At 43.4% G+C, this 25,381-nt stretch overlaps 1 protein-coding gene across 2 annotated transcripts, besides 7 other annotated features; it reads right to left on the bottom strand.

Moving 5' to 3' along the window:
- Nucleotides 1-6,338: 6,338 nt before the first annotated feature.
- Nucleotides 6,339-17,577, bottom strand: SRSF3 (serine and arginine rich splicing factor 3). 2 transcript variants are annotated; one of them, NR_036610.2, is made up of 7 exons: nt 17,458-17,577; nt 14,971-15,178; nt 12,956-13,090; nt 11,663-12,118; nt 10,749-10,787; nt 10,145-10,231; nt 6,339-9,977 (listed from the first exon to the last, which is right to left on the bottom strand). NR_036610.2 is itself a non-coding variant. In NM_003017.5 (6 exons), the coding sequence occupies exons 2-6, from the start codon at nt 15,174-15,176 to the stop codon at nt 9,950-9,952; spliced, it is 495 nt and encodes a 164-aa protein (NP_003008.1). In that variant the 5' UTR covers nt 15,177-15,178; nt 17,458-17,577; the 3' UTR covers nt 6,339-9,949. The 2 variants fall into 2 exon arrangements, 1 of the variants encoding a protein (NP_003008.1); NM_003017.5 differs by lacking the exon at nt 11,663-12,118.
- Nucleotides 11,490-11,989: an enhancer, noted in NCBI's record as "H3K4me1 hESC enhancer chr6:36567727-36568226 (GRCh37/hg19 assembly coordinates)". NCBI's record gives its function as "activates a minimal SCP1, AML or CMV promoter by ChIP-STARR-seq in naive H9 embryonic stem cells {active_cell/tissue: H9 hESC(naive)}" and the evidence as "EXISTENCE:reporter gene assay evidence [ECO:0000049][PMID:30033119]".
- Nucleotides 11,990-12,491: an enhancer, noted in NCBI's record as "H3K4me1 hESC enhancer chr6:36567225-36567726 (GRCh37/hg19 assembly coordinates)". NCBI's record gives its function as "activates a minimal SCP1, AML or CMV promoter by ChIP-STARR-seq in naive H9 embryonic stem cells {active_cell/tissue: H9 hESC(naive)}" and the evidence as "EXISTENCE:reporter gene assay evidence [ECO:0000049][PMID:30033119]".
- Nucleotides 14,273-14,773: an enhancer, noted in NCBI's record as "H3K27ac hESC enhancer chr6:36564943-36565443 (GRCh37/hg19 assembly coordinates)". NCBI's record gives its function as "activates a minimal SCP1, AML or CMV promoter by ChIP-STARR-seq in naive and primed H9 embryonic stem cells {active_cell/tissue: H9 hESC(naive and primed)}" and the evidence as "EXISTENCE:reporter gene assay evidence [ECO:0000049][PMID:30033119]".
- Nucleotides 14,774-15,274: an enhancer, noted in NCBI's record as "H3K27ac hESC enhancer chr6:36564442-36564942 (GRCh37/hg19 assembly coordinates)". NCBI's record gives its function as "activates a minimal SCP1, AML or CMV promoter by ChIP-STARR-seq in naive H9 embryonic stem cells {active_cell/tissue: H9 hESC(naive)}" and the evidence as "EXISTENCE:reporter gene assay evidence [ECO:0000049][PMID:30033119]".
- Nucleotides 17,120-17,801: an enhancer, noted in NCBI's record as "NANOG-H3K27ac-H3K4me1 hESC enhancer chr6:36561915-36562596 (GRCh37/hg19 assembly coordinates)". NCBI's record gives its function as "activates a minimal SCP1, AML or CMV promoter by ChIP-STARR-seq in naive H9 embryonic stem cells {active_cell/tissue: H9 hESC(naive)}" and the evidence as "EXISTENCE:reporter gene assay evidence [ECO:0000049][PMID:30033119]".
- Nucleotides 17,290-17,519: an enhancer, noted in NCBI's record as "active region_24431". NCBI's record gives its function as "activates an Ori minimal core promoter by ATAC-STARR-seq in GM12878 lymphoblastoid cells {active_cell/tissue: GM12878}" and the evidence as "EXISTENCE:reporter gene assay evidence [ECO:0000049][PMID:35858748]".
- Nucleotides 17,910-18,069: an enhancer, noted in NCBI's record as "active region_24430". NCBI's record gives its function as "activates an Ori minimal core promoter by ATAC-STARR-seq in GM12878 lymphoblastoid cells {active_cell/tissue: GM12878}" and the evidence as "EXISTENCE:reporter gene assay evidence [ECO:0000049][PMID:35858748]".

Here is a 25,381-nt window from a genome sequence, read left to right as displayed (position 1 = left end):
GTTGGTCTTTGTTTTTGTTTTTGTTTTTGAGACAGAGTCCTGCTCTGTCACCCAGACTGGAGTGTAATGGTGTGATCTTGGTTCACTGCAACCTGTGCCTCCTGGCTTCAAGCAATTCTCTCCTGCCTTGGCCTCCCAAGTAGCTGGGATTACAGGTGTCCACCATCATGTCCGGCTAATTTTTGTATTTTTAGTAGAGACGGTGTTTTGCCATGTTGGCTAGGCTGATCTCAAACTACTGACCTCAGATGATCCGCCCACCTCGGCCTCCCAAAGTGCTAGGATTACAGGCCTGAGCCACCATGCCCAACCTGACTTACATCTTATAGCACACTCATATCTGATATTTACATACAGAACGTTTATTTTATAAACTGCTTTTCTTGTATTTTTATATTATTGTTAAGGCTTTGCATTTCTATAATCCATATAGAAAATGGATCTCACTTCAGAAGAGTCAAGGGTCATTACCAATTTTTTTTTTTTTTTTTAACAAAAAAGGGGCCCATGTCTGATAAGTCAAGACCACTTGTCCTCTCTGAGCTTCTTGAGTAATGGGAGATAATTCCAACGTCACAAGGTTGATGAAAAAAAGCACCATTCATGTGCCTGGCATCTATTTATTCCACTTCAGTTTTCTTCCTATCTGGTTGTCTACTTTTGCTCTCCTACACCTTGCTCAGGGGATATCCCCAGTACTGGCAATATGAGTGTGTTTAATAAAGGAGCAAAGGAAAGCATTTTCTGGTGACAAGTCTCATCTGGCTGTTCGGTGACACCAAGGCACATGCCCAGGAAACTGGTAGTTTCCAGTCTGGCACCACAGCCTCTAGAGAAACAGAACCAGGGCACCTTTCCCAGCAAGTTTATGGAGAAAAAACAGGGATGGGCAGGTATCATCAGGAAGCAGGGTCCCAGGCTGAGGGCAGAGATGTGGCTTGTTTCCCTATCTAGGGATGCCTGGGGGGAATTAGGGTAAAAAGGCAAACAGCAGGTCAAGGTAGCTTATTTGGGCCAAGGTTGAAGACTGCAGCCTGAGACACTTCCAGGTTGCCTTGGAGAGTATTCCAAAGGACAGGCTCAACTTTTTACAGAAAAAAGGATGAATCAGAAGACGGGTGATTACAAAAGTTGTTCGTCAGGAATTCTCATTGGTTTACAGAAATAACACTGGTTAGTGATTGGCTATCCACTGTTGAATTACAGGACAATGGCATTTTATGGCTACTTGGCATCACAGTCTAGAACCCACATGGCAAGTGACTTCAAGAGGTAATTATTTAGCTCAAGGAGGGAGTGAAGACAGGACTGCTGTTAAATGCCTCTCTGGCCCTAATAATTTAAAAGGAATCACATTCCTCAGATTAAAAGGTGTTTTTCTTCCTTAAGACATACTGGGTCAAAGTGACAAACTGCACTTCTGTGGTATCAGAAACAGACTTTAATCTTGACTGCCCAGGCCGTAGTGCAGTGGCGCGATCTCAGCTCACTGCAACCTCTGCCTCCCAGGTTTAAGTAATTCTCCTGCCTTAGCCTCCCCTCCCCAGTAGCTGGGATTACAGGCGCGCTCCACCACGCCCGGCTTTTTTTTTTTTTTTTTTTTTTTTTAGTAGAGATGGGGTTTTGCCATGTTGGTAAAGCTGGTCTCGAACTCCTGACCTCAAATGATCCGTCCACCCGGGCCTCCCAAAGTGCTGGGATTACAAGCATGAGCCACTGCGCCCAGCCCAAGTTATTGGTTTTCTAAAGCTCCCCGTGATTCCAATGTGCAGCAAAGGGGAGAGAAAACACCATGAATACCCTGTGAAGTATATTGTTATCCCCCAACTTTTCAAACAAGGGAACTAAGAAAGTGACTTGCCCTCAGCACACAGCCAAAAAAAAAAAAAAAATTTGAACTCAAGAAAGCCTAATTTGAAAACCTATTTTAAAACAGCTATCTAGCAGTTTTAACCCACACCATCTTTCCTACCTACCTATCCCTTCAGAATCCCCTTTCTTAACATATGCCCATACTCCCTTATCCACAAATGTCCCTCTTGACCTTGGACCATTCAACTCAGTAGTCCCCCTTCCGCACTCTTCGAAATTGGACAGATTCAAAAGTGGTTGAGGAGGAGCAAGGTCAGCGGAAGCACACTCACAGCAGGCAAATTAGGGTAATTTCTGCCTGCCCAGCACCCAAAGGAGCCTTTCTTAAGCCATTACCTGAGTGCTTACTGCATGCCAACACAAGCCTGCACAGAACACCTATTATTTACTGAGCAGTGTGCTATGCTCTGTGCTGAGTGCTTTACTTGCATTACACTATATTCTTGATATTAACAATAGGGGATAGGTGCTTCCTATTATCACCATTTTAAAGATGAAAAAAATGAAATCCCAGACATTACACAATTGGCCCAAAGCCACAGAGCTGTAAGGAAGCAAGGATTCAAATCTGGGCTGCTATTTCCAAGCCTGACGGCCTTAACGTTACACTGCTCCCTATAACAAGCCCTGGATTTGCTGTTGAGGCACCAGAGCCCTGCTCTGCCACTGTGTCCCTGTGTGACCTTGAACAAATCCACTTTCTTATCTCTAAACTAATAAGAATTTGGACTATCGACTCTGAAGCCCTTTCCAGTTTATCTACACCTGGTCCTGTAACCAAGTTTATAGTTTCAGCTCCATTACCACTGGGCTGCGAAGTTAGACAACTTGCCAAGCCCCTCCGAACTTAAATCTCTTCCTCAATAAATGGAGATGATCACATTAACCTTACTACTAACACCCTTTTGAATCATTTTATTCCTGTCAACTGCTGTCATACCCAAGAGCTGGCAGTGGCTCAGGTACCAGTCTTGGATGACAGAGTAAGTAAAAACCTTTCCTTCCACCCACTTCTGTTGAGAATTAATCAAAATTACTTGAGGAAAGGAATGGAGCTTTCTTCCAGGTCAATAGACTGCCAGCTGCTGTAGAGAGCTTGTTTTTGTTTTTTGTTGTTGTTTTTGAGACAGGGCCTCACTCTGTCACCCAGGCTGGAGTGCAGTGGCACAATCTCAGCTCACTGCAACCTCTACCTCCTGGGCTCAAAGCAATCCTCCCACCTCAGCCTCCTCAGTAGCTGGGACTACAAGCACATACCACCATGCCCAGCTAATTTTTGTACTTTTTGTAGAGACGGGGTTTTGCCATGTTGCCCAGGCTGGTCTCCTGAGCTCAGGCAATCCACCTGCCTTGGGCTCCCAAAATGCTGGGAAGAAAAAGAGCTTTAATTACCAAGTAAGTGATCACTTAAATTTGTCTACTTAACTTCGACCACTATTTTTTCACCAGCAACTCAGAAATAAGACACAACAGTCTCCTAACTTGGGCTATCATTTTTAAACAAGAGCTCATGAATCTCTGGAAGAAAAAAAAAAGAGACACACAGAGAAAAAAAAGGTTTGTATACTTTTCTCTGTAAAACTGAAAAGTCCTCCCTGTTTGATGTTTTGGGTTTGTTTTTTTTTTTTGAGACAGTTTCACTCTTGTTGCCCAGGCTGGAGTGCAATGGCACGATCTCGGCTCACTGCAACCTCTGCCTCGCAGGTTCAAGCGATTCTCCTGGCTCAGCCTCCCCAGTTGCTGGGATTACAGGCATGTGCCAACATGCCCGGCTTTTTTAAGTAGAGACAGGATTTCTCCACGTTGGTCAGGCTGGTCTCAAACTCCCGACCTCACGTGATCCACCCAACTTGGCCTCCCAAAGTGCTCGGATTACAGGTGTGACCCACAGCACCTGGCCTAAGGCAGATACTTTCAATGATTCAGTTCTTAGCCCTCCTTGTCAGTGTGTTCATACTCCAACTTACAAAGCACGTGACTTCTTCCAACCTCACTCTTTGAGGCCAATTTCATGTCAAATGGATTGCTATATATTGCCAACTGAAATCTAACCAAGACTGCCAGCTCAGTAAACCTGTCCTCATTAAACTCCAAGCAGCTAGAATGAGCGAGCCAGCCATTCATCAATGCACTCTAATACTCCCAACTTCTTGGCTTTCCTGTCAGTGTTAAAGCTGGACAAGTTATCTTATACACGCTTGTTCAAATACATGGCTAAAGGAAAGTAAAAAAAAACCAATCAGATTTGGACCCACTTCAAACTTAAATAAACCCTTTTATCTCTAAATCCTAGTGCAGTTTACATTCTCAACTGTTTCTGGCTCTAAACCCCTATTTCATGATTAAGGCATTTATTTCTTCCTCTTCACCTCAGATTGGTTAGTCTCTCCTTATCATTTGAATGTGAGCTCTGGAACTGGGATGGCCAGTTGCAGTGGCTCATGCCTATAATCCCAACACTTTGGGATTACAGCCAAGGCTGGAGGGGTCCTTGAGTGCAGCCTGGGCAACAGTGAAATACCATCTTATAAAAAACAGCCTGGGGCGGGGCGCAGTGGCTCACGCCTGTAATCCTAGTACTTTGAGAGGCCAAGGCGGGCGGATCATGAGGTCAAGACATCGAGACCATCCTTGCCAATATGGTGAAACCCGTCTCTACTAAAAAATACCAAAAAATTAGCCAGGCATGGTGGTGCGCACCTGTAGTCCCAGCTGCTCAGGAGGCTGAGACAGGAGAATCACTTGAACCTGGGAGGCAGAGATTGCAGTGAGCTGAGATCACACCACTGCACTCCAGCCTGAGTGACAGAGTGAGACTCCGTCTCAAAACCAACCAACCAAAAAGAAAACTGGGGTGAAAATGAATTGTTAAAGGTCAACAGCCTAAACTTGCACTCCAGTCAAACACAAATATTATATAGATTTTTCTTTCTAGATATTGAGCTGGTGTTGTGATTTATCACTGTATCCCAGTCAGTGTTTGTATCATGGACTTTTGACATGTAGGAAAATTATGAAACAATTAAATGACAAATCAACATTCCAATTTGTATTTGTAAAATACTTTCATTGAAAACATGGGTAGTTTTATCTAAACTAAAAATAAATGTCATTATGAGATTCTGGTGGCAGCCAGCCAGCTGGATGAGGTTTTTTAAAGTTACCAGCTGCCTGAGCTTAAGATTTAGAATTGTTTCCCAAAGGAGTTATTCTTTCAAAAATGAAACTTCTAGGCCGGGCACGGTGGCTCACGCCTGTAATCCCAGCACTCTGGGAGGCCGAGGCAGGCGGATCACTTGAGGTCAGGAGTTCAAGATCAGCTTGGCTAACATGGTGAAACCCTGGCTCTACTAAAAATACAAAAAGCAGCTGGGCGTGGTGACACGCGCCTGTAGTCCCAGCTACTCGGGAGGCTGAGGCAGGAGAATTGCTTGAACCCGGGAGGCGAAGGTGGCAGTGAGCCGAGATCGAGCCACAGCACTCCAGCCTGGGTGACAAAGAGAGACTCCATCTCAAAAAAAAAAAAAAATACATAAATAACATTAAATAAAAAATAAACTTCTGTATCTCAAGACTTACATAACATTTTTTTAAAATATTCAAATATTTCCTTCTCCAAATGACCAATATAAACTTCACATCTCCACCCCACCCCCTCCCCGACCCCCCATTGCCACTGCCCAGCTCCAGGCAGCATTAGGCAACAACTTCAACAACATTCCCCTTAGCTCTACATTTTGGGGCTTTGTGAGCAAATAAAAAAACAGTGAACAACGCTAACTTGGCCAGGGAAAGGTGACTCAGGCCTGTAATCCCAGCGCTTTGGGAGGCTGAGGCAGAAGGATCGCTTGAGGAGTTCCAGACCAGCCTGAGAAACATAACCACGTCTCTTAAAAAAAGTTTTTAATTAGCTGGGCATGGTGGTGTGTGACTGTAGTCCTAGCTACTTGGGAGACTGAGGTGGGAGGAACGCTTGAGCCCAAGAAGCCAAGGCTGCAGTAAGCTATGTCACCACTGGTCTCAAAAAACAAAACAAAAACAGGAATGCTAACTTGCCCCAGATGAAATCTGAATGAAGTATATACTGAAATAAAGGTGCACAACCACAAATGAACAAGGCTTTCAAAAGAGGAGGACTCCTTCAACCTATAGACTACTTTTCTGGAAGGTTTAATTTTGCCCTGGAAATAGTATCCATCTCAGGACATTCCAAATGATTAGGGAGAAGCAAAGTATCAATGTTTTGATATTTCCACTTGCTCAAGACACATGTACTAACTTACAGTGAGGCACTACATGGCCATATTCTACATCTTTTATAGTAGAACAACTATACAATGCCTTACATCAGAAATGAGGAAAACTAAAGATTAAAACAGCAATGTTTTACACACGTATTTCATGTGTTAGTTTAGGAATCATTTTGGGTACCTTCATCAAATCGACAGAGAAAGCAGGATACTAAATGAGAATCTAAATACTGTATTATTAAGTACAGAGTCCAACAAGGGGAAAGTTGCATGGACAAAACTAATCAATTATACTAGGCTTACCAAAACAAACTTTTTTTTTTTTTTTGGAGACGAAGTTTTGCTTTCACTCAGGCTGGAGTGAAGTGGCTACATCTCGGCTCATGGCAACCTCCACCCACCAGGTTTAAGCACTTCTCCTGCCTCAGCCTCCCAAGTGGCTGGCATTATAGGCGCCTGCCACCACACCCAGCTAATTTTTGTACTGTTAGTAGAGACGGGGTTTCACCATGTTGACCAAGCTGGTCTCCAACTCCTGACCACAAGTGATCCACCTGCCTCAACCTCCCAATGCACCGGGATTACAGGCATGAGCCATCACACCCAGCCAAAACAAATTTCAATGACCTTGTCTCAGAACCTTAAGGGGTCTACAGCTGAATTATCTTCAGGTACCCGATGAATCCCCCTAATAAAACAGGATGAAAAAAATTAGAGTGGACATAAAATCAAATTCAACACTACTGGATTATTTAGAGAAAAATGTACTTCCAACCCAGTTTTTCTTCAGTAACTTTAACTAGAAATCTTTCTCGAAAAGATGGAAAACCAGAAGGCAACAATCTGGTAGTACAAAAATATACAACTAAGAAATTACCACCAACTAGGTATGACAACTAAATCTCATTCAGAACTCTGAAAAAAAGCATACTTGGACAAAATACTAAACTAGTGGTTCTCACATCACCAAGGGTATTTATCATGTAGAACTCCTCAAAATTACACAGGGTTAGGTCACCCTGAAAAACTAAGTCAATGAGCCTGGAGTCTGGCTGTATCTATTCTGAAATACCTCTTCAACAAAATTTCTAATTAGGCAGCACTGTACTAAAATGAATGTAGTAATAACCTGGATTTTCCATCCACATATGGGTTTGTGTGAAAGCCACTGACAGCAGTCTAACAGGGTGGGAGTGTCATGGACGCTGACGGGATCACGTTTGTAAGGATCTCTAAGATACTCAAATGGTAGACACAGGGTACCTGTGCTTGGTAAAACTACAACTTCCCTACTTTCTGCTTAAGACATGGAGGTCAGAAGCAACCCACAATGAACTGTGAACCAGAGATCAAACTAAATATTCCTTTTAATAGAAATGTGAATCTTGCCATGTTGGGCAGACTGGTCTCCAACTCCTGGCTTCAAGAGATCCTCCCACCCGCCCTAGCCTCCCAAAGTGCTAGGAATTACAAGTGTGAGCCACCACATCCAGCCAGTGTCTTTGAAAACAATCAAATATAATCCTTAATGTTTCTTTACATTGTCATCAAGTATTAGTAACAGTGACTTCTAGTGAACACCTTGATCCTTAAACCACAGGTCTAAGTTCAGTTTTGTGATTCCTTTCATTTTTACACTCAACCCTGAATATGGACAAGACCGGTTAGTGTGACCTGTTATTTTAGGAATTACAACTTTAAAAATTCCTAATAGCCACAATCTAAATGTGCAATTCAAAGCTTTTAACAATTTCCATGTTCTAAAGTTTCTAAGAGTCTTGAGGTTATGCTAGGGCTCCTGGTTAAAGTAACTGCCAACTGGGACTGTATGTCACCTAAGTCAGGATAACTCCCTGGTGAAGTTACTTTTATTTCAGGTTCTGTATTATTTCTCTTAGCCATATTATACCCGTAACTGTCCTTTTTACAGAAACCCTTCCAACTTAAGAGCCTGCAAGGAAGTCATATACTGCCCAAAAATGCCCACATAAGTTGTCCATTTATAAAAAGCAATGTAATTGACATATTGCATGGCTTCCGTAACTTCTTAGCTATCTTGGCTTGTTCCTAACAGGAACAGGTTGTAGGCTATGTGAGAATACTAAAGACAAAATGCCCAATGCCAGAGCTCTCAGTAAATAAACAGGCTGTCTGAAAAGTGTCTTTCTTGAACATGCTTAACTTTAAGGCTGAACCTTCCTGACACCAATTCTCCCAAGATTTGTGTAAAAGGTGGAAATAAATAATTTGTTTAGGAACTGTATCTTAATGTATCCATTTAGCTTGAACTCTTAATGCAATGACTTATCTTTCATATTTAAGACAGTCAATACCGCATAATCCAAAACTATCTTAAGAGCATATTTAAGGAAACTAAGCCACAAGACTGTTGCATTATGATTTAATCTAATTGCACAAAAATTTGAAATTACAACACCTGCCATTTTCTAAGAGGAAGGTTATGCATGCCTCCATATTCAATTCTGCACTGTTACATTTGAACCATATTGTGAACTTTTACATCATGATGGATCAGCTTAGAATTCCCATGCAACACCTCAAATTATAAAATGGAAGCAATTTTTAGACCTGTGGAAAGTTTTCATGCTAAAGATAAAAGCCATTTGTTAATGGGCAACTTACTTTGTGTTTAAGAACCAGGTTGCTGCTATACTTTAAAATGTTGGTCACTAAATATTATGGACCCTGAACTGGCTTCTATGCCTAAAAAAAAAAAAAATGGGTTAACTATCACTTAGGTGACATCTATATTTCCTTCACTTCAGAAGACTAATCCATAGTGCCTCTCAGCTGTTTCTTATAAAATAAGAATCGTGTAACCAACTGCTTCCCATGGGATAAGAACAATGGTAACAGTGGGTTCAACTGACTATACACAATTATGCTAATATTTTATTAATTCAAAAGCACTTTACAAGAAAATATAAGTATGGCTTCCAATAGGAATGTTATACCTGGACTTGGTACCAAGCTCACAGATTTGAGTTTGCAAGGAAAAACAGGCTTTCAAGTTAAAGAACAATTTGTAACCAAAACTTTAATCCCAAGGATTCTCACAAAACATATTACAAATGACAGCATGAAAAAAAAATCTTGCACAGTAACTCAAAGTTCGGCTCTACAATGTACCCTTAAACTGGCAGGACATTTTTGAAATCACAAATTTGCACATAAAGAATGTCACGAACAGCCATGTATCCATATACAGCAATCAAATAAGGAACTTATGACCTAAAGCAAAGGTAAACTTTCTTGAAACTTAACATTCTATACCAACTAGGCAACCTCTGCCCAGGATGAGAGTTGGATTTTTCAAAAACCTCTAATTTAATAGTGCAGCATTTCGTTTTCCCTGATGGCCTGTGTTTCACAGCAGTTTTTAAAGACTGCTTGTTCAACTATAGCTGCAGCCTATATCCCAGCTATGGAAAAAAAAGTAAATCTTAGTTCAATTTTTGCCAGTTGTTTCTGTATTTAAATTTAAAAAAAAACACACTTCCGCTGGGCAGGTTTAGAGGTTTATTATCAGTCTGTGCATAACTAAAAGTTCAAAGCAAATTCAATTTTGCTTAAGGGAACATTGTAAAGTAACAATTCTTGGTATTACATGCCTCGTATGATCCATTTCAAACCATAGAGAATTACACCTTTGTGTCACTGTTTCAAGAGACAAACAGATTTGAACAGCTAAAACATCTTAAAAATGCACCAAGCTTATGAAGTCTCAAACAAAACTTGAATTTTCTGTACATACTCCTGTCAAATGAAGTAATTTCCTGTACACCACTTCTCTTGCAAACTGTCTTCTATTTCCTTTCATTTGACCTAGATCGACTAAAAAAAAAAAAAAAAAAAGAAAACAAAACATTACATCTGTAACTTGGTGACACTTTAGTGACATATCGAAATAGAACTTTAAGGTAAAAAATTTATGGCTTAGAAGACAGGCCTTAGCATACTATGTATGCAAAGTCTTAAATACAAGTTATCAAAGATCTTACCTACGAGACCTAGAGAAGGATCGGGACGGCTTGTGATTTCTCTCCCGAGACAGCGATCTCTCTCTTCTCCTATCTCTAGAAAGGGACCTAAACAAGCAAAAAAACATTAGGACCAATGAGGTATGATAAAATTATACATAAATATTTTCTTGATCTGGCATGGTGACTCATGCCAATAATTCCAATATTTTGGGAGGCAGAGGCAGGAGGCTCACTTGAAGCCAAGAGTTTGAGAACAGATTGGACAACAAAGTGAGATCCCATCTCCACAAAAAATAAATTAGCCAGGTATGGCAGTACTTGCCTGTAGTCCAAGCTACTCAGGAGGCTGAAGAGGGAGGATCACTCCAAGGCCAGGAGTTAAAGGCTACAGTGAGCTATAATCACACCACTGCACTCCAGCCTGGGTGACAGATCCTTTTTTAAAAAATTAAATACTTTCTAAAAAGCCTTTGAAAACTCAAAGAAAGCTGACTCATCCTTACAACTTGATTCACTATTAAAGCCAAGGTTTATTCCCATTAACTAAGCCACCTGGAAAAGTTTAGGAATAGCAGAAACACTGCCATTTCTAAGAACGTAGCCAAAAAAGGTAGTCATTTACCTGCTCCGGCTGCGAGAGAAGCTTCTCCTTCTTGGAGATCTAAAAGCAGAAACAGGAAAATTAGGCTCATCATCAATTAGTATTTATGGCGTGAGGCATTTCCCAACTTTTCAATCTCACTGTTGGGCCCAGTGAATGTGCCGAAGAACTGGCACCCATCGTCCAAAAAAAAAAAAAAAAAAAAAAAAAGAAAAAAAAGAAAAGAAAAAAAAGGCACAGAAGGATTAAGAAACAAAAAGCTCAAGTGAAAAGCAGGTATTCCAACCATGGATTCACTTTAACAAAGAATGCTTCACAGCAGATCTGTCCAATGCAAAACTTCATGTCAAACTAACTTCACTACCCAAACACCACACCAAAATATAGTCCCACAAGTAGTTCCAAAAACAGTACCATAAACCAGTATTTGGAACCCATGCAAACCTGTAAGTCCATGACAAGACTTAGGTACCAGGTGGATAGTGTAATTTTGTGAAAACGCGGTAGGTGTAAATATTGATGCCATTAAGTGCTACATTAGAACTGCATTTGTGATCGTCACATTTAAGAGTGTGTTTAGGCTTACCAAAATTACCTTAGCTTGGCCCACACTTCAACCCCAAAATTTTAAATTTTGAAACTGTTAGTAAAACCATTTAAAGGTGATAGGATTCAACAAATTTTTGCCAGAAAAGCTAATCTGTTAGAGATATTAAAATTTTTAGTTTGGCATCTTGCACATGCAAATAAGTTTCACTTGAAGGCCTAGTTACATTACGAGTTCCCTATCACCCTTAAAAGTTTTTCAAGCAATATATATGTACGTTACCATTCAATTATGCACAGCCAGCCTTTGATCCAGAAAAAAGAATTACTTTAAGCCGCTTACTCCTTATTTTAACCAGCAGTAAACTGTATAAGCAGGAAAAACTTACTAGTTTTGGGTTTCAACAAGCTAGAAATGGTGAGGTGAGGCTGCCGGACTGACGGCCAGGAAGAATTTGCTGAAAAGGTTTTGCCAGATGTTGCGTTGGATTTAGTTGGTTGGCGAAGGGGGTGTTGTGGATTTTTCCTGCTTTTTTGTTAGCCGAAGGCTGCTGCTGTAGTTGTTGTGAAGACATTTGGTAAATAAACAGCTGAGCTGATTGGCCAGGAATGTGTGGGCGGTCGAGGTGGCTGCTGCCGATTTGGTTAAGGTTGGAGAGAAGGCTGAGAGAAAACAGCATGCTCGGGAACCAAAGGGCGGTGCAACCTGACGACTGGCCAGCCTGGGTCATGTGAAACGACACCAGCCAAGCTGAATGGGGCGCGCTGGTCACATGACGCTGAAAGGGCTAGTTGACTGGCTAATGCAGATTCAGAGGGTGGTGAGAAGAGACATGATGGTGACTCTGTAACGGGGTTCATTTTTATTAATAGATGGACCAAAAAGCACAAAAAAAATGAAAAACAAGCCATCAGTACAACCATCTATTAGCTAACAAATACTCTTTATTATGATGGGCAACAGTGTGCTGTTGTTTTTCAAAATAGCAAAAGGGGCAAGATTTTGAACTCCTGTCTCCTAGAAGGACTCCACTCACCTGTAAGAGGTAAATTTAGTCCTATAGAAACTATTTTGGAGGTCTGAGGAGATGTGGAGTTAGCACCCAGACAATACTGCCTGGTCCAAGAATGATGCCATTTTCAATTATAAAAAAACTGAATTTTCTCCTATTTGGGATTGAAGAACAGATGACTGGGATTACTTCTTTTTTAGCCCCCTTTATTGGTCAGTGACTTAAGTTAGTCTCAGAATGATTTCTACTTTACCAGTTGTAACATTAAAACAGCTGCCTGTTTGATAAATATTACAATTGTGCTAATAGTAGAAAACACAAATTTGTGAAGAGCTAGAGTTGAATGTAATGTTTGTCATTATGGAGCCAAGAAATGGAAAAAGGCCTAAACTGAAGTATAAGGGAAGATTTGGAAAGATGCAACTAGAAAGATGAACTAGAAGACAGATCCAAGATAGAAGTTACTGACTACCAACATGAACAGTGACCTAAAGACAAAAGCCAACACTCAGCACAACTCACATACCCCAAATTACACCCAACAAATGTTTCACAGAAACCTCCGATTCTTCCAAAGTTTAAAACCCACCAACAAACTTAAGAGAAATACCTGCTCCTACTAGCTACTCCATTACACCAATACCTCTTAACAAGCTTTCTCTCAAGTACCTGCGACGAGGTGGAGGACTCCTCCTACGATAATCATCTCGAGGGCGACGACCCCAAGAGGGAGGTGGGCCACGATTTCTACTTCTTTTTTCACCATTCGACAGTTCCACTCTTACACGGCAGCCACATAGTGTTCTGAGGGGGCAAAGATATTAAACTTAAAACAGCCTGACTTTCTGACATGCGTATTAAAGCCAAAAGTACTCTCAGTTGGCTATTCTGCAAAGAACACACCTAAGTGTCTGTGCAATTTAACATCAAATTTCTAGCTCCCTTATTTTTACTAATATAAAATGAGCTTTGGCCAGGCACGGTGGTACACGCCTGTAATCCCAACACTTTATGAGGCCGAGGCAGGCGGATCACAAGGTCAAGAGTTCGACACTATCTTGGCCAACGTGGTGAAACCCTCGCTCTACTAAAAATACAAAAAATAGCCAGGTGTGGTGGTACATGCCTGTAATCCCAGCTACTCAGGCGGCTGAGGCAGGAGAATCACTTGAACCCAGTAGGCAGAGGTTACAACGAGCCAAGATCACACCATTGCACTCCAGCCTGGGGGACAGAGCAAGACTCTGTCTTGAAAAATAAAATAAGCTTGTTTCCCAGTTTCAAATTAAAATTTCAATTAATTTCAAATTAAACAAATAGGATTTTCTAAAGTACCAATTCACAAGGAAGTCAAATTCTATTTTATCACCTAATTGTTAGAGCCAGTCTGATTACTGAGCTCAATGTTAATTTGTTAACAGTTGCAATTTAAGTGTGAAGATCCATTTATCCTTGAAAAACAAGTTCTCCTGTATCTTCATTATGATTTCTTCCCTTGAAGTCCCTGCACTTATTTCAGTTATTTACCAGGCTGTATTTATTGGTCTCCCCCTGCCCCACTCCAAGTAAAAAATCAGTTCAAGACAAGACAGAACCATTTTGGCCATTTTACAGCACCCTCTCCCCTCAACAGTCAGCACAGAAGAAATTATAGCTGTGGCCAGGTGAGGTGGCTCATGCCTGTAATCCCAGCACTCAGAGAGGCTGAGGCAGGAGGATGGCTTGAGCCCAGGAGCTTGAGGCCAGCCTGGGCAACACAGACTGTCGTCTGTATTATTTTTTAAATAATAAATATACATTTTTTTAAAAAAAGAAATTATAGCTCACAGTAGTAAAAAAAAAAAAAAAAGACCATTATTCCTCACCCTTAATACAACCAGTCATTAAATTTAGATAAGCTATCATATTTGAAGAGTGACTGGGAAGAGGTGGGCCCTGGAAAACTTTACTACAACCTGCTTGAATTGACCAACCTTTCATGCAGCTTTACAGTGAACACTCAGCTCCTTTTTCCCATTATACTTCCAAATATGAGGAAAGGGGGGTGGGGGCATGGAGGTCAATACTCAGGCCTTACTCAGCCAGCTAACAGGACACTATTAACACAAAGGGAAATAGTAAGTGATTCACTTTCTGGAGTATTTCAAACACATAAAAGTAAAGGTACAACCAACCCATGTAACCATTTTGTAAACAATTTTTTAAACAAGGATCAGTTCACAACTACTCTTAAAAATATTTGATCCTGGCTGGGCACAGTGGCTCCCACCTGTAATTCCAGCACTTTGGGAGGTCAAGGCGGTCAGATCACCTGGGGTCAGGAGTTCGAGACCAGCCTGGCCAACATGGTGAAACCCCATCTCTGCTAGAAATACAAAAATCAGCCCCGCATGATGGCACACGCCTGTAGTCCCAGTTACTCAGAAGGCTGAGGCAGGAGAATCACTTGAACCCCGGAGGCCGAGGTTGCGGGGAGCGGGAGACTGTACCACTGCACTCCAGCCCAGTGACAGTGCAAGACTCGTCTCCCCACCAAAAAAAAAAAAAAAAAAAAAGATCCCAATTGTATCTAAAGATACAATTGGCCAGTGATTGGGAAAGCCATCTAAGAGCCACATATCCTGTAGATTTTAAATATGAAAAACACAAGCAACACATTTTTATCAGCGTAATCATTAAATCACCTTCCATCTAGCTCTCGGACTGCATCAGCTGCATCTCGGGGATCTTCAAATTCAACAAAAGCAAAGCCGGGTGGGTTTCTAGCAACCCACACACTTCGGAGTGGTCCATAGTAGCCAAAAGCCCGTTCCAATTCCGTCTTGTTGCCATTGTTTCCAAGATTGCCTACATAAACCTTACAGTCCAATGGACAGGAATCACGATGCATTTCTGTAATGAAAAATACCAAAAATATTCATTCATCTAAACATCTACAGTTAAAACCACAGATCCTTAGAAAGAACTCCATTAGAGAGGACAAGAGAGTTTAAGGTAGCACGTAAAGAAAAAAAAATTACAAAAATGCTAGAAACCAAACAAGAAATGTTACTGCTAAGCACCCATTTCCCCCCCCCCGCCACCCCGCCCCATTATCTTTACTCCTAACCCTCAGGAAGCCAGCAATTAGTGAAGAAAAAAACAGCTTCCTTGGAACGTTGAGAACAACTGGAGGAGCATTTACCACCATCTGGGCCGTGAGTTAAGAGACTTAACCTGTTATTTCATTTAATCCCCAAAATAAAGCATTTCTAGAAAAACAGAAGAGAATTCTGTTGGGGACTCAAAACTAAATAAAACAATGATGAAGAAAGCTAGTCCTTAAGGTTATACTACCAGGCAAGCGATTCAAAGTACCTACATAAGCCAAAACTTACCAGCTTTAATAAAAATAAGGCCAACGATTTTCACTTTTAAAAAAATGCCCATGGACCGGGCGCGGCGGCTCACACCTGCAATCCCAGAACTTTTGGGAAGCCGAGGCGGGCGAATCACGAGGTCAGGAGTTCGACCCAGCCTGGCCAATATGGTGAAACCCCGTCACAACTAAAAATACAAAAATTAGCCGGGCATGGTGGCGCACACCTGTAGTCCCAGCTACTCGGGAGGCTGAGGCAGAACAATCGCTTGAACCCGCGAGGCGGAGGTGGCAGTGAGCCGAGATCGCGCCACTGCACTCCAGCCTCGGCGACAGAGCGAGATTCCATCGCCAAAAAAAAACCACAAATAAATAAATAAATAAATGCCTATTTTGGTCATTTGGAACTATAGGAACAAGGCTAGTATCAAATGTCATTAGATAGACCAGAGTCTTACGCGGTAAAAATTTATCAAGCAACGAGACCAACTTTACAGTTTTTTAAAAAATGTAAACTCATAGTAGCACTTATTCACAGTAGCCCAAAGATGTTAACCCAAATGTCCATCAACAGAAACGGATAAGCAAAATGTGGTATAGACATAAAATGAGTATTATTCAGAATGATGTACTGACAAATCCTCCAACGTTGGAAAATCTTGAAAACATTACGCTAAGTTAAAGAAGCCAGACATAAAAGTACACGATTCCATAAATACTAAATATCTAAAATAGCTAAGTTCAGAGAGACAGGAAGATTAGTGGTTGCTAGGGACTAGAGGAAGGGGGACAGGGAATCTGGGAGTAAGTGCTCAATGGGTAGTAGTCTCCTGCGGGGGGAGGTGACGGAAATGTTTTGGAACTACGTGTAAGTGATGATTACACAACACTGAATATACTAAATACCACTTAAAGATAATTTCACTTTAATAAAAAATTACAAAGAGATATTTGCTACTAAAAAATTTACTGCACTTTGGGGACTTATTTTTTTGTTCTTCCTTGGCGGACTTGTATTTGATAAAGCTTTATTACTGAGTCACTTCGACGATGAATCTGATAAACTTGTAGACCAGTTTCAATTACATAAAAACCATCTACTCAATAATTCAGCTGAAGTGCTTTCCATAAACACCACGTTCTTCTTACTCTGGGCTTGTCTAATTAAAATATCCAGTCCAGACACATCCTATTTGCCGTGACCACACCCTGTGCCCAGGAGTAAGTTCTAAGACCAAACCACTGGTGAAAATTTTTAAAAACACTGCTGGCACCTGTCTTAAGCCTCCATTTTAATGGGAAGCGATGAAAGAACGAATCTTAAGTTCAAGGAAGATCTTTCGGTCTTAGAAAAAGGTGATTAGATTCAGGCTGCAAAATCTGAAACTACATGAAAGTAAGGTGACTACGGGGGCCATTTAATATGAACTGAAAGGTCCGGTCTTGGTTAGTGACTTTACAAAAACATTCTGAGAAGCTTCCCAATTAAATGAGGGGCCAAAAAAAAAAAAGGCGCCATAAAAATAAAAAGGCCGTGACCTGGAATACAACTCGGCTATCGGCTCCCCTTTGTGGTTCCCAACTCCCAGGTAACCCCCATCCTGGCTCATGCCCCAATGAGGAATATAAAGACTTCCACTCCAAGACTAGGAAACCCTCCGATGGGCCGGGAGCCCCCGCCACCGCCCCGTGCTGAACGTCACAAAATGGCGGCGGCGCCTCTTTGTCTCAATCTGGCGCCGCCATTGGGCCTGGCTCCTTGGTACTGTTAAATTCCATTTCCACCTCATTCCCTCTTTCGCTGGTCTCTTACCGAGATCTAGGGTTAAAAAATGCGGCGGCTCAAATCCACACGCTCCGATGAGTCTTCCCGCTTTCCTCCGGCCCAACACCAACCAACTCTCTCACTCACCCGGCGTCCACGAAATGGCGGACCACCGCCTTCTCCTCGCCTTTATTTATACGCCATACTGGAATCACATGATTGGACGGGCTCCCCCAATGAGAAGCAGAAGAGGCCGTGACGTATGGCTACAAACGCAGCGAGAGCCGCGGTTGCTGGGAGCGCGCTCTGGCGGTTGCGCCGGGTGGGTGGAGACGTGCGTCGGCGCGCGCTCGTTGTAACAGGCCTGGTGCTCCCTCGAGCGTTCCTCCCGGTCTGTCGACCTCCAGGTTACCCACAGACTCCTCTTCCTCACCTCCAAATAGGCTAGGGCTTCATAAACAGCACCGTCGCCGTCACGCTCAAACACTAATAGGAGCCGTTGGCCCCTAACAAGATTAAGAGATGAATTAATTAAGTGCTTCACCCTTGTGAGCGGTTAGTCTGGAACTAAGAGCATCGCGTTTACAAACAGGTCACGGAGCTGTTTGTGACCCAGCTGGCACCAGACTGTGGCCGCCTAGATTCCACACTGAAGGAAAAGCCTGGTTTGGAAAGTTTGCCCAACTCTTGCTGGTTTCTCGTCTCTCAAGCAAACTTGCAGGACTTGGCGCCGACAGCAAAGGAGACCGGTCAGGTGACCTGGAAACTATCACCTTTAGCAAACACCCGGAAAGGGAAGTTTCTGAAGAAGATTGAATGTAAATTCTGGCCCCCAAGCAAATGCCAGGAGGGGTATCTCGAGCCTTTCTCCTAGCAGCCGTTGCACTGCCTGGCATGTATTTTGTCCGGGCCACTTCCCTTACGAAGACAGAGCCGCAAGAGTAATTAAGGGGAGAGAGACTGTGATTGGGTTAGAAAAATCACCAAGGGCCGGGCGCGGTGGCTCATGCCTGTAATCCCAGCACTTTGGGAGGCCGAGGCAGGCGGATCACTTGAGGTCAGGAGTTCAAGACCAGCCTGGCCAACATGGTGAAATCCCGTCTCTATTAAAAATACAAATGGCCGGGCATGGTGGCAGGCGCCTGTAATCCCAGCTACTTGGGAGGCTGAGAGCAGGAGAATCGCTTGAACCCAGGAGGCGGAGGTTGCCGTGAGCTGAGATCCTACCACTGCACAAAAAAAAAAAGAGAGAAAAAGAACCTGTCTTTTTATTTATTCCCTCTTAGCTGAAAGATATGCCAATTATTATGTTTTTTTTTTTCTTTTTTCTTTTTTTTTTTTTCTTGAGATGGAGTCTCGTTCTGTTGCCCAGGCTGGAGTGCAATGGCGCGACCTCGGCTCACTGCAAACTCCGCCTCCCGGGTTCAAGCGATTCGCCTACCTCAGCTTCCCGAGTAGCTGGGATTACAGGCACCTGCCACCACACCCGGCTAATTTTTGTATTTTTAATAGAGACGGGGTTTCACCATGCTGGTCAGGCTGGTCTCGAACTCGCCACCTCAGGCGATTCTCCCGCCTCGGCCTCCCAAAGTGCTGGTATTACAGGCGTGAGCCACAGCACCCGGCCAGCCAATTAATATGTTTTAACTTTCCCAGGTATTTTTCTTTTGAAGCCTTACCTCTTATTGTGGTTCTAAAAGGTTTATCTGTAGTGGAGGAAAAAAATACAGATTTATTACATCTCAGCCTAGTTTCCTCACCTGTAAAAGGGGAGAAGGGGATCCTAGCAAACCTTTTCTTATTTCTCTCTCGTCTAGATTTTTTTTTCTGGCTCACTTATATTTGCCTTGATTTGTTCCCCTCCTCTATGTAAGCTTTTCTCCTCTTTTTCATTTTCTTTCCTTCTATCAAATCAAAGGCTCTGGAGTCAGGCAGTCCTGGATTTGGCCCCAGCCCCCACTGCTAGTTACTGGCTGAAGCATCCTGAGAAGAACGTTTAACCTCTCTATTTCCTCTGTATAAAATAACCCCAGGCTTGCAGCGTTACAGATGTTAGGTTTTGTCACTTTGGCCAATTGTGGTCACACCTGCATCCCCAGGGCTTGGAAACGATACAGCAGTCAAGCAATACATATTTGTTTATTTTTAGTTAGTTATTTATTTTTGAGACTCTGGGTCTGGCTCTGTCACCCAGGCTGGAGTACAGTGGTTCGATCTCGCCTCACGGCAACGTCCACCTGCCGGGCTCGAGCAATTCTCCTACCTCAGCCTCCCCAACGACTAGGACCACAGGCGCGAGCACAGATGCCCAGCTAATTTTCGTATTTTTTGTAGAGACAGGATTTCACCATGTTGCCCAGGCTGGTCTAGAACTCCTGAGCTCAAAGCCATCCACCCTCCTCTGCCTCCCAAAGTGCTGGGATTACAGCCATGAGTCACGGCACCTGGCCTTTTTTTTTTTTTTTTTTTTTTGAGACAGGGTCTTGCTCTCTTACTCAGGCGGGAGGGCAGTGGAGCAAACTTCGCTCACCACAACCTGGACCTCGTGGGCTGGACCTCATGGGTTAAAATTAGCCACCATGCCTGGCTAATTTTTTGATTTTTTTGTAGAGGAGTCTCACTTTGCTGCCCAGATTGGTCTTGAACTCCTGGCCTCAAACGATTCTACCACCTTGGGAGAGTTGTTTGAGTTGTTCGAGACCAATCCAACTCCTGAGATTGGTCTTAAACTCCTGGCCTCAAACAAGTCTCTCAAAGTGCTGGGATTACAGGCGTGAACCACTGTGCTGGGCTGTTAAATTATTTAATTAAGAGAAATGATGTATGTAAATCATCTGGCACAATCACTGCTTTTAAAAATGCTGGCCGGCTGGGTGCAGTGGCTCACGCCTGTAATCGCAGCATTTTGGGAGGCCTAGGCTGGTGGACCACTTTAGACCAAGAGTTTGAGACCAGCCTAGGCAACATGGGGAGAACCTGTCTCTACTAAGAATACAAAAAGTTAGTCGTGGTGATGGGAACCTGTAGTCCAGCTACTCAGAAAGCTGAGGTGGGAGAATCGCCTGAACCTGAGAAGTTGAGGCTGCAATGAGCCAAGATCGTGCCACTGCACTCCAGTGCATTCCAGTGTAATCGAATGAGACCGTGTCTTATAAATAAATAAATAAATAAATGCTGGCCTTTTAAAATTTTTCTTTTCCCATCTCATTTTCCCATTCTTTCCCACCACTTTTCCTGTTTTTTGTTTGTGTGTTTGTTTGTTTTTGTGTGTGGTGCTAGTCAAGTCTAGTCAAGTGTGTTGTCTTTCAGTGGAACTCTCTTAATCCCTCTACCTCTAGTAACAAAAACATTCTGAACCTCCCCTGGCCATCCACAACTTTTCATCTTCTAGCGACTTCAGACAAATGAATTATCCACTTGCTTTAGAGGTGTTTTTTGTTGTTGTTGTTGTTGTTGTTGTCTCACTCTGTCACCCAGGCTGGAGTGCAGTGGCACAGTCTCCATCTCGGCTCACTGCAGCCTCCACCTCCCAGGTTCAAGCGATTCTCCTACCTCAACCTCCCGAGTAGCTGGGACTACAGGCATGCGCCACCACGCCAGGCTGATATTTGTATTTTTAGTAGAGATGGGGTTTCATCACGTTGGCCAGGCTGGTCTCGAACTCCTGGCTTCAAGTGATCTGCCCACCTTGGCCTCCCAAAGTACTGGGATTACAGATGGGAGCCACCACACCTAGTCCTGTGGAGTATTTTAATATTCCTTTAAACTTATACGACCACTACTCTTGTCTGGACCCTCGACTACCTGAAGCTTCAAGGAGACATATCAGGGTTTTTGGTACAGACACAGAATGGGAATCATATGTTGTAGGAATATCTCTTGATTTTCTTTGGGAAACCACCTTTCTCACAGTAGTACATATTATTGATTTGAATGTGGTTGGGTCCTACACCCCTCTTTTTCAGGGGTAGGGAGGTAACCATTCTGGATTAATTAAATCATCCAAGTTCTTAGTCCTTCCCTTGTGCCTCCCCCACCATTAGGAATGAGGATGAGTAATCCAGTCAGACCAGTCAGCTGCTGATCCAGCACTGTTCATAGGCCAACCAGAGAGAGGTGTGCTATTTCCCCTGATTAGCACAGTCCTGAGCCGGGGCAGCCAGCCTGTTTCCAGGAGGGAAGAAGCAGCCTGAGGTAGACCCAACACAGTGGGAAGGAGAACTGCAAGGTGGGAAATAAGGAGCCATGGAGAGTCTTGCTTAAGAAGGCTTTTTTTTTTTTCTTTTTTTTGAGATGGAGTCTTGCTCTGTTGCACAGGCTGGAGTGCATCGGCGAGGTCTCGGCTCACTGCAACCTCCACCTCCCAGGTTCAAGCAATTCTTGTGCCTCAGCCTCCCAAGTAGCTGGGATTACAGGTGTGCACCACCACACCCGGCTAATGTTTGTATTTTTAGTAGAGACGGGGTTTCACCATGTTGGCCAGGCTGGTCTTGAACTCCTGACTTCAGGTGATCCGCCCGCCTCAGCCTCGCAAAGTGCTGGGATTACAGGTGGGAGCCACAAAGCCCAGCCTGAATTCCCAGTTACTTGAACATACAGTCAGCCCTCTGTATCTTCAGGTTCCTGCAACCAACTGCAGATCAAAAATATTTTTTAAAAGAATAAAACATAATACAGCATAACAACCATTTACTTATATTGTGTTAGGTATAATTAATGTAGAGTTGATTTAAATTATAGGGGAGGATGTGCATAGATTATATGCAAATACTACATTTTATATAAGGGACTTGAGCATCCTTGGATTTTGGTATCCTCAGGGGTCCTGGAACCAGAACACCCACCACAAAGAGATCACCATACAAGTTCCTACACTTTCCTCAAAGTGGCTTAAGCCACTTTGAGTTAGATTTTTTCCTGTCATTAGACATCAGAAAGATTCTAAATACAAATATTCTTTTTTATTTTATTTTACAGAGGTGGGGGTCCTGCTATGTTGGCCAGGCTGGTCTCGAGCTCCTGGGCTCAAGTGATCCTCCTGCCTCTGCCTCCCAAAGTGGCCACCACACCAGGCCAAGATTCCAAGTACAAAAATTATTCTGACACAGACTTCTCACTATCTCAAGTTGAGAGCATGGTACTAAGTTACCTTTCAATTCTAAAATTCACCTGTTACCAATTCACTATTTTTGTTTGTTTGTTTGTTTGTTTTTGAGATGGAGTCTCACTCTGTCGCCCCGGCTGGGAGTTCAGTGTGTGATCTTGGCTCACTGCAACCTCTGGCTCCTGGGTTCAAGCAATTCTTCTGCCTCAGCCACCCAAGTAGCTGGGATTACAGGCGTTTGCCACAACGCCCAACAAATTTTTTTATTTTTAGTAGAGACAGGGTTTCGCCATGATGGCCAGGCTGGTCTGGAATTCCTGACCTCAAGTGATCCGCCCGCCTCGGACTCCCAAAGTACTGGGATTACAGGTGTGACCCACTGCACCTGGCCACGTATATATATTTTTTAACTTAAAATTTAAAAAATGTTTAATTTAAAATTAAAAACAAAAAATGCTGGGCACAATGGTTCATGCCTGTAATCCCAGCACTTTGAAAGGCTGAGGCGAGAGGACCACTTCAGGCCAGGAGTTTGAGACTGGCCTGGACAACATAGCAAGACCCCCCCGCCCCGTACAAAAAAATACAAAAATTAGCTGGGCATGGTGTTGTGCGCCTATAGTCCCAGCTACTTAGGGGGCTGAGTTGGGAGGATCACTTGAGCCTGTGAGGCAGAGGTTGCAGTGAGCTGAGATTGCACCACTTCACTCCAGCCTGGGGCACATAGTGAGACTCTGCTCAGAAAAAAAAAATTTTCAAAAAAGAAAGAAATTACTGATGGCCAGGTGCTAAGAGTTTTGTATAAGGTTTAATGTTTTTGTTGTTGTTGTTTTGTTTGTTTGTTTGAGACAGATTCTTGCTGTGTCACCAGGCTGGAGTTCAGTGGCATGATCTTGGCTCATTCCAACCTCCACCTCCCAGTTTCAAGTGATTCTCCTGCCTCAGCCTCCTGAGTAACTGGGACGACAGGCATGCGCCACCAAGCCCAGCTAATTTTTGTATTTTTAGTAGAGACAGGGTTTCACCATGTTGGCTAGGATAGTCTCAATCTCTTGATCTCGTGATCTACCCGCCTCAGCCTCCCAAAGTGCTGCGATTACAGGCGTGAGCCACTGCACCCAGCCTGGTTTAATGTTTTATGTTTTGGGGGGCCAAGATGGGAGAATCGCTTAAGGCCAGGTGTTCTGAAACCAGCAGTTTTACTATTGTCTCTACAAAAATTTAAAAAAACAAATTAGCAAAGTGGTGCTGCATGCCTGTAGTTCTAGCTACTCAGGAGGCTGAGACGGCAAGGATCTCTTGAGTACAGGAGTTCGAGGCTGCAGTGGGCTATGATTATTTCACTGCACTCCAACTTGGGCAACATAGCAAGACCTTGTCTCTAAGAAGAAAAAAAAATTTTTTTTGGCTATAATCCAAGCACTGTGGGAGGCTGAGGCAGGCAGATCATCTGAGGTCAGGAGTTTGAGACCAGCCTGGCCAACATGACGAAACCCTGTCTCTACTAAAAATACCAAAATTAGCCAGGCATAATGGTGCGCGCCTGTAATTCCAGCTACTTGGGAGGCTGAGGCAGCAGAATCCCTTGAACCCAGGAGGCAGAGGTTGCAGTGAGCCAAGATACCACTGCACTCCAGTCTGGGCAACAGAGTGAGACTCCGTTTCAAAACAAATAGATAAATAAATAAATAATAAAATATTTAATGTTTTAAATATTGTGATTGACTTCAAGTATCCGTGAAGGAAAATCTTAAACAGTATGAACCTTCACAGGCTGGGCGTGGTGGCTCATGCCTGTAATCCCAGCACTTTGGGAGGCCGAGGCAGGTGGATCACCTGAGGTCAGGAGTTTGAGACCAGCCTGGCCAACATGGTGAAACTCCATCTCCACTAAAAAATACAAAAATTGGCTGGGCGCGATGGCTCACGCCTGTAATCCCAGTACTTTGGGAGGCCGAGGTGGGAGGATCACAAGGTCAGAAGATCGAGACCATCCTGGCTAACACAGTGAAACCCCGTCTCTACTCAAAATACAAAAAATTAGCTGGGCATGGTGGCACTCACCTGTAGTCTCGGCTACTAGGGAGGCTGAGGCAGGAGAATCGGTTGAACCCAGGAGGCAGAGGTTCAGTCAGCCGAGATCACACCACTGCACTCCAGCCTGGGCAACAGAACGAGACTCCGTCTCAAAAAAGAAAAACCCAAAAATTAGCCAGGCATGGTGGCTCACACCTGTAATCACAGCTACTCTGGAGGCTGAGGCAGGAGAATCTCTTGAACCCGGGAGGCAGAGGTTGCAGTGAGCCAAGGTTGTGCCACTGCACTCCAGCCTGGGCCACAGAGTGAGACTCCGTCTCAAAAAAAAAGTAAAAATTTTTTAAAAAAGAGCATGAACCATCACAATAGTTCATTAACTACATGGTTCAGTCAAGATCCTGGCAGAAACCAGATGGCACACTTAAAGAGTTAACCACATAGGGAATTATGTACAGGGGTGTGGGCAGAGTTAAGGAAACCCATAGTGGGTAAGGGCAATCCCAAAGGCAGCTCGTAGGCCCAATGGGGCAAGGAAGGGAGCAGGGTTACCAAAAACAGCCAGCTGCTGTTGCTGTGGGAGATGAGCTATTATAGCTTTAGATAGAGGAACTGTGGCAGCCCAGTTTTGGGGGTGTGGGGCTAGAACCACTCTCTCCATTGTCCCATCTTTTAATGGTGACATCTTTTGCTCAAAACCAACTGGAAGCCTGAGGGCAAGAGAGCTGGGTGATACAAGTCTAGAGGTTGGTTGGCCAGGGCACAGAGCAGGGCTGAGAAGGCTAGAGAACTGATCTAGGGTTGTGCTGTCCAATATGGTAGCCACAGGTACCT

This window comes from Homo sapiens, chromosome 6 (assembly GCF_000001405.40).
Source record: "Homo sapiens chromosome 6, GRCh38.p14 Primary Assembly".
NCBI classification, from domain to species: Eukaryota; Metazoa; Chordata; class Mammalia; order Primates; family Hominidae; genus Homo; species Homo sapiens.
Note: the sequence above shows the minus strand (reverse complement) of the source record. Positions and strands in the feature narration are given on the sequence as shown.

What these genes read in the sequence shown, in the direction of transcription:
- SRSF3 (NM_003017.5), bottom strand. Translation starts at nt 15,176, where the DNA reads ATGCATCGTGATTCCTGTCCATTGGACTGTAAGGTTTATGTAGGCAAT. An exon ending in AGTCCTCCACCTCGTCGCAG is followed by an intron (nt 10,788 to 12,955) that starts GTACTTGAGAGA and finishes TTCTGCTTTTAG; the next exon opens with ATCTCCAAGAAGGAGAAGCT. An exon ending in TCCTTCTCTAGGTCTCGTAG is followed by an intron (nt 9,978 to 10,144) that starts GTAAGATCTTTG and finishes TTTTTTTTTTAG; the next exon opens with TCGATCTAGGTCAAATGAAA.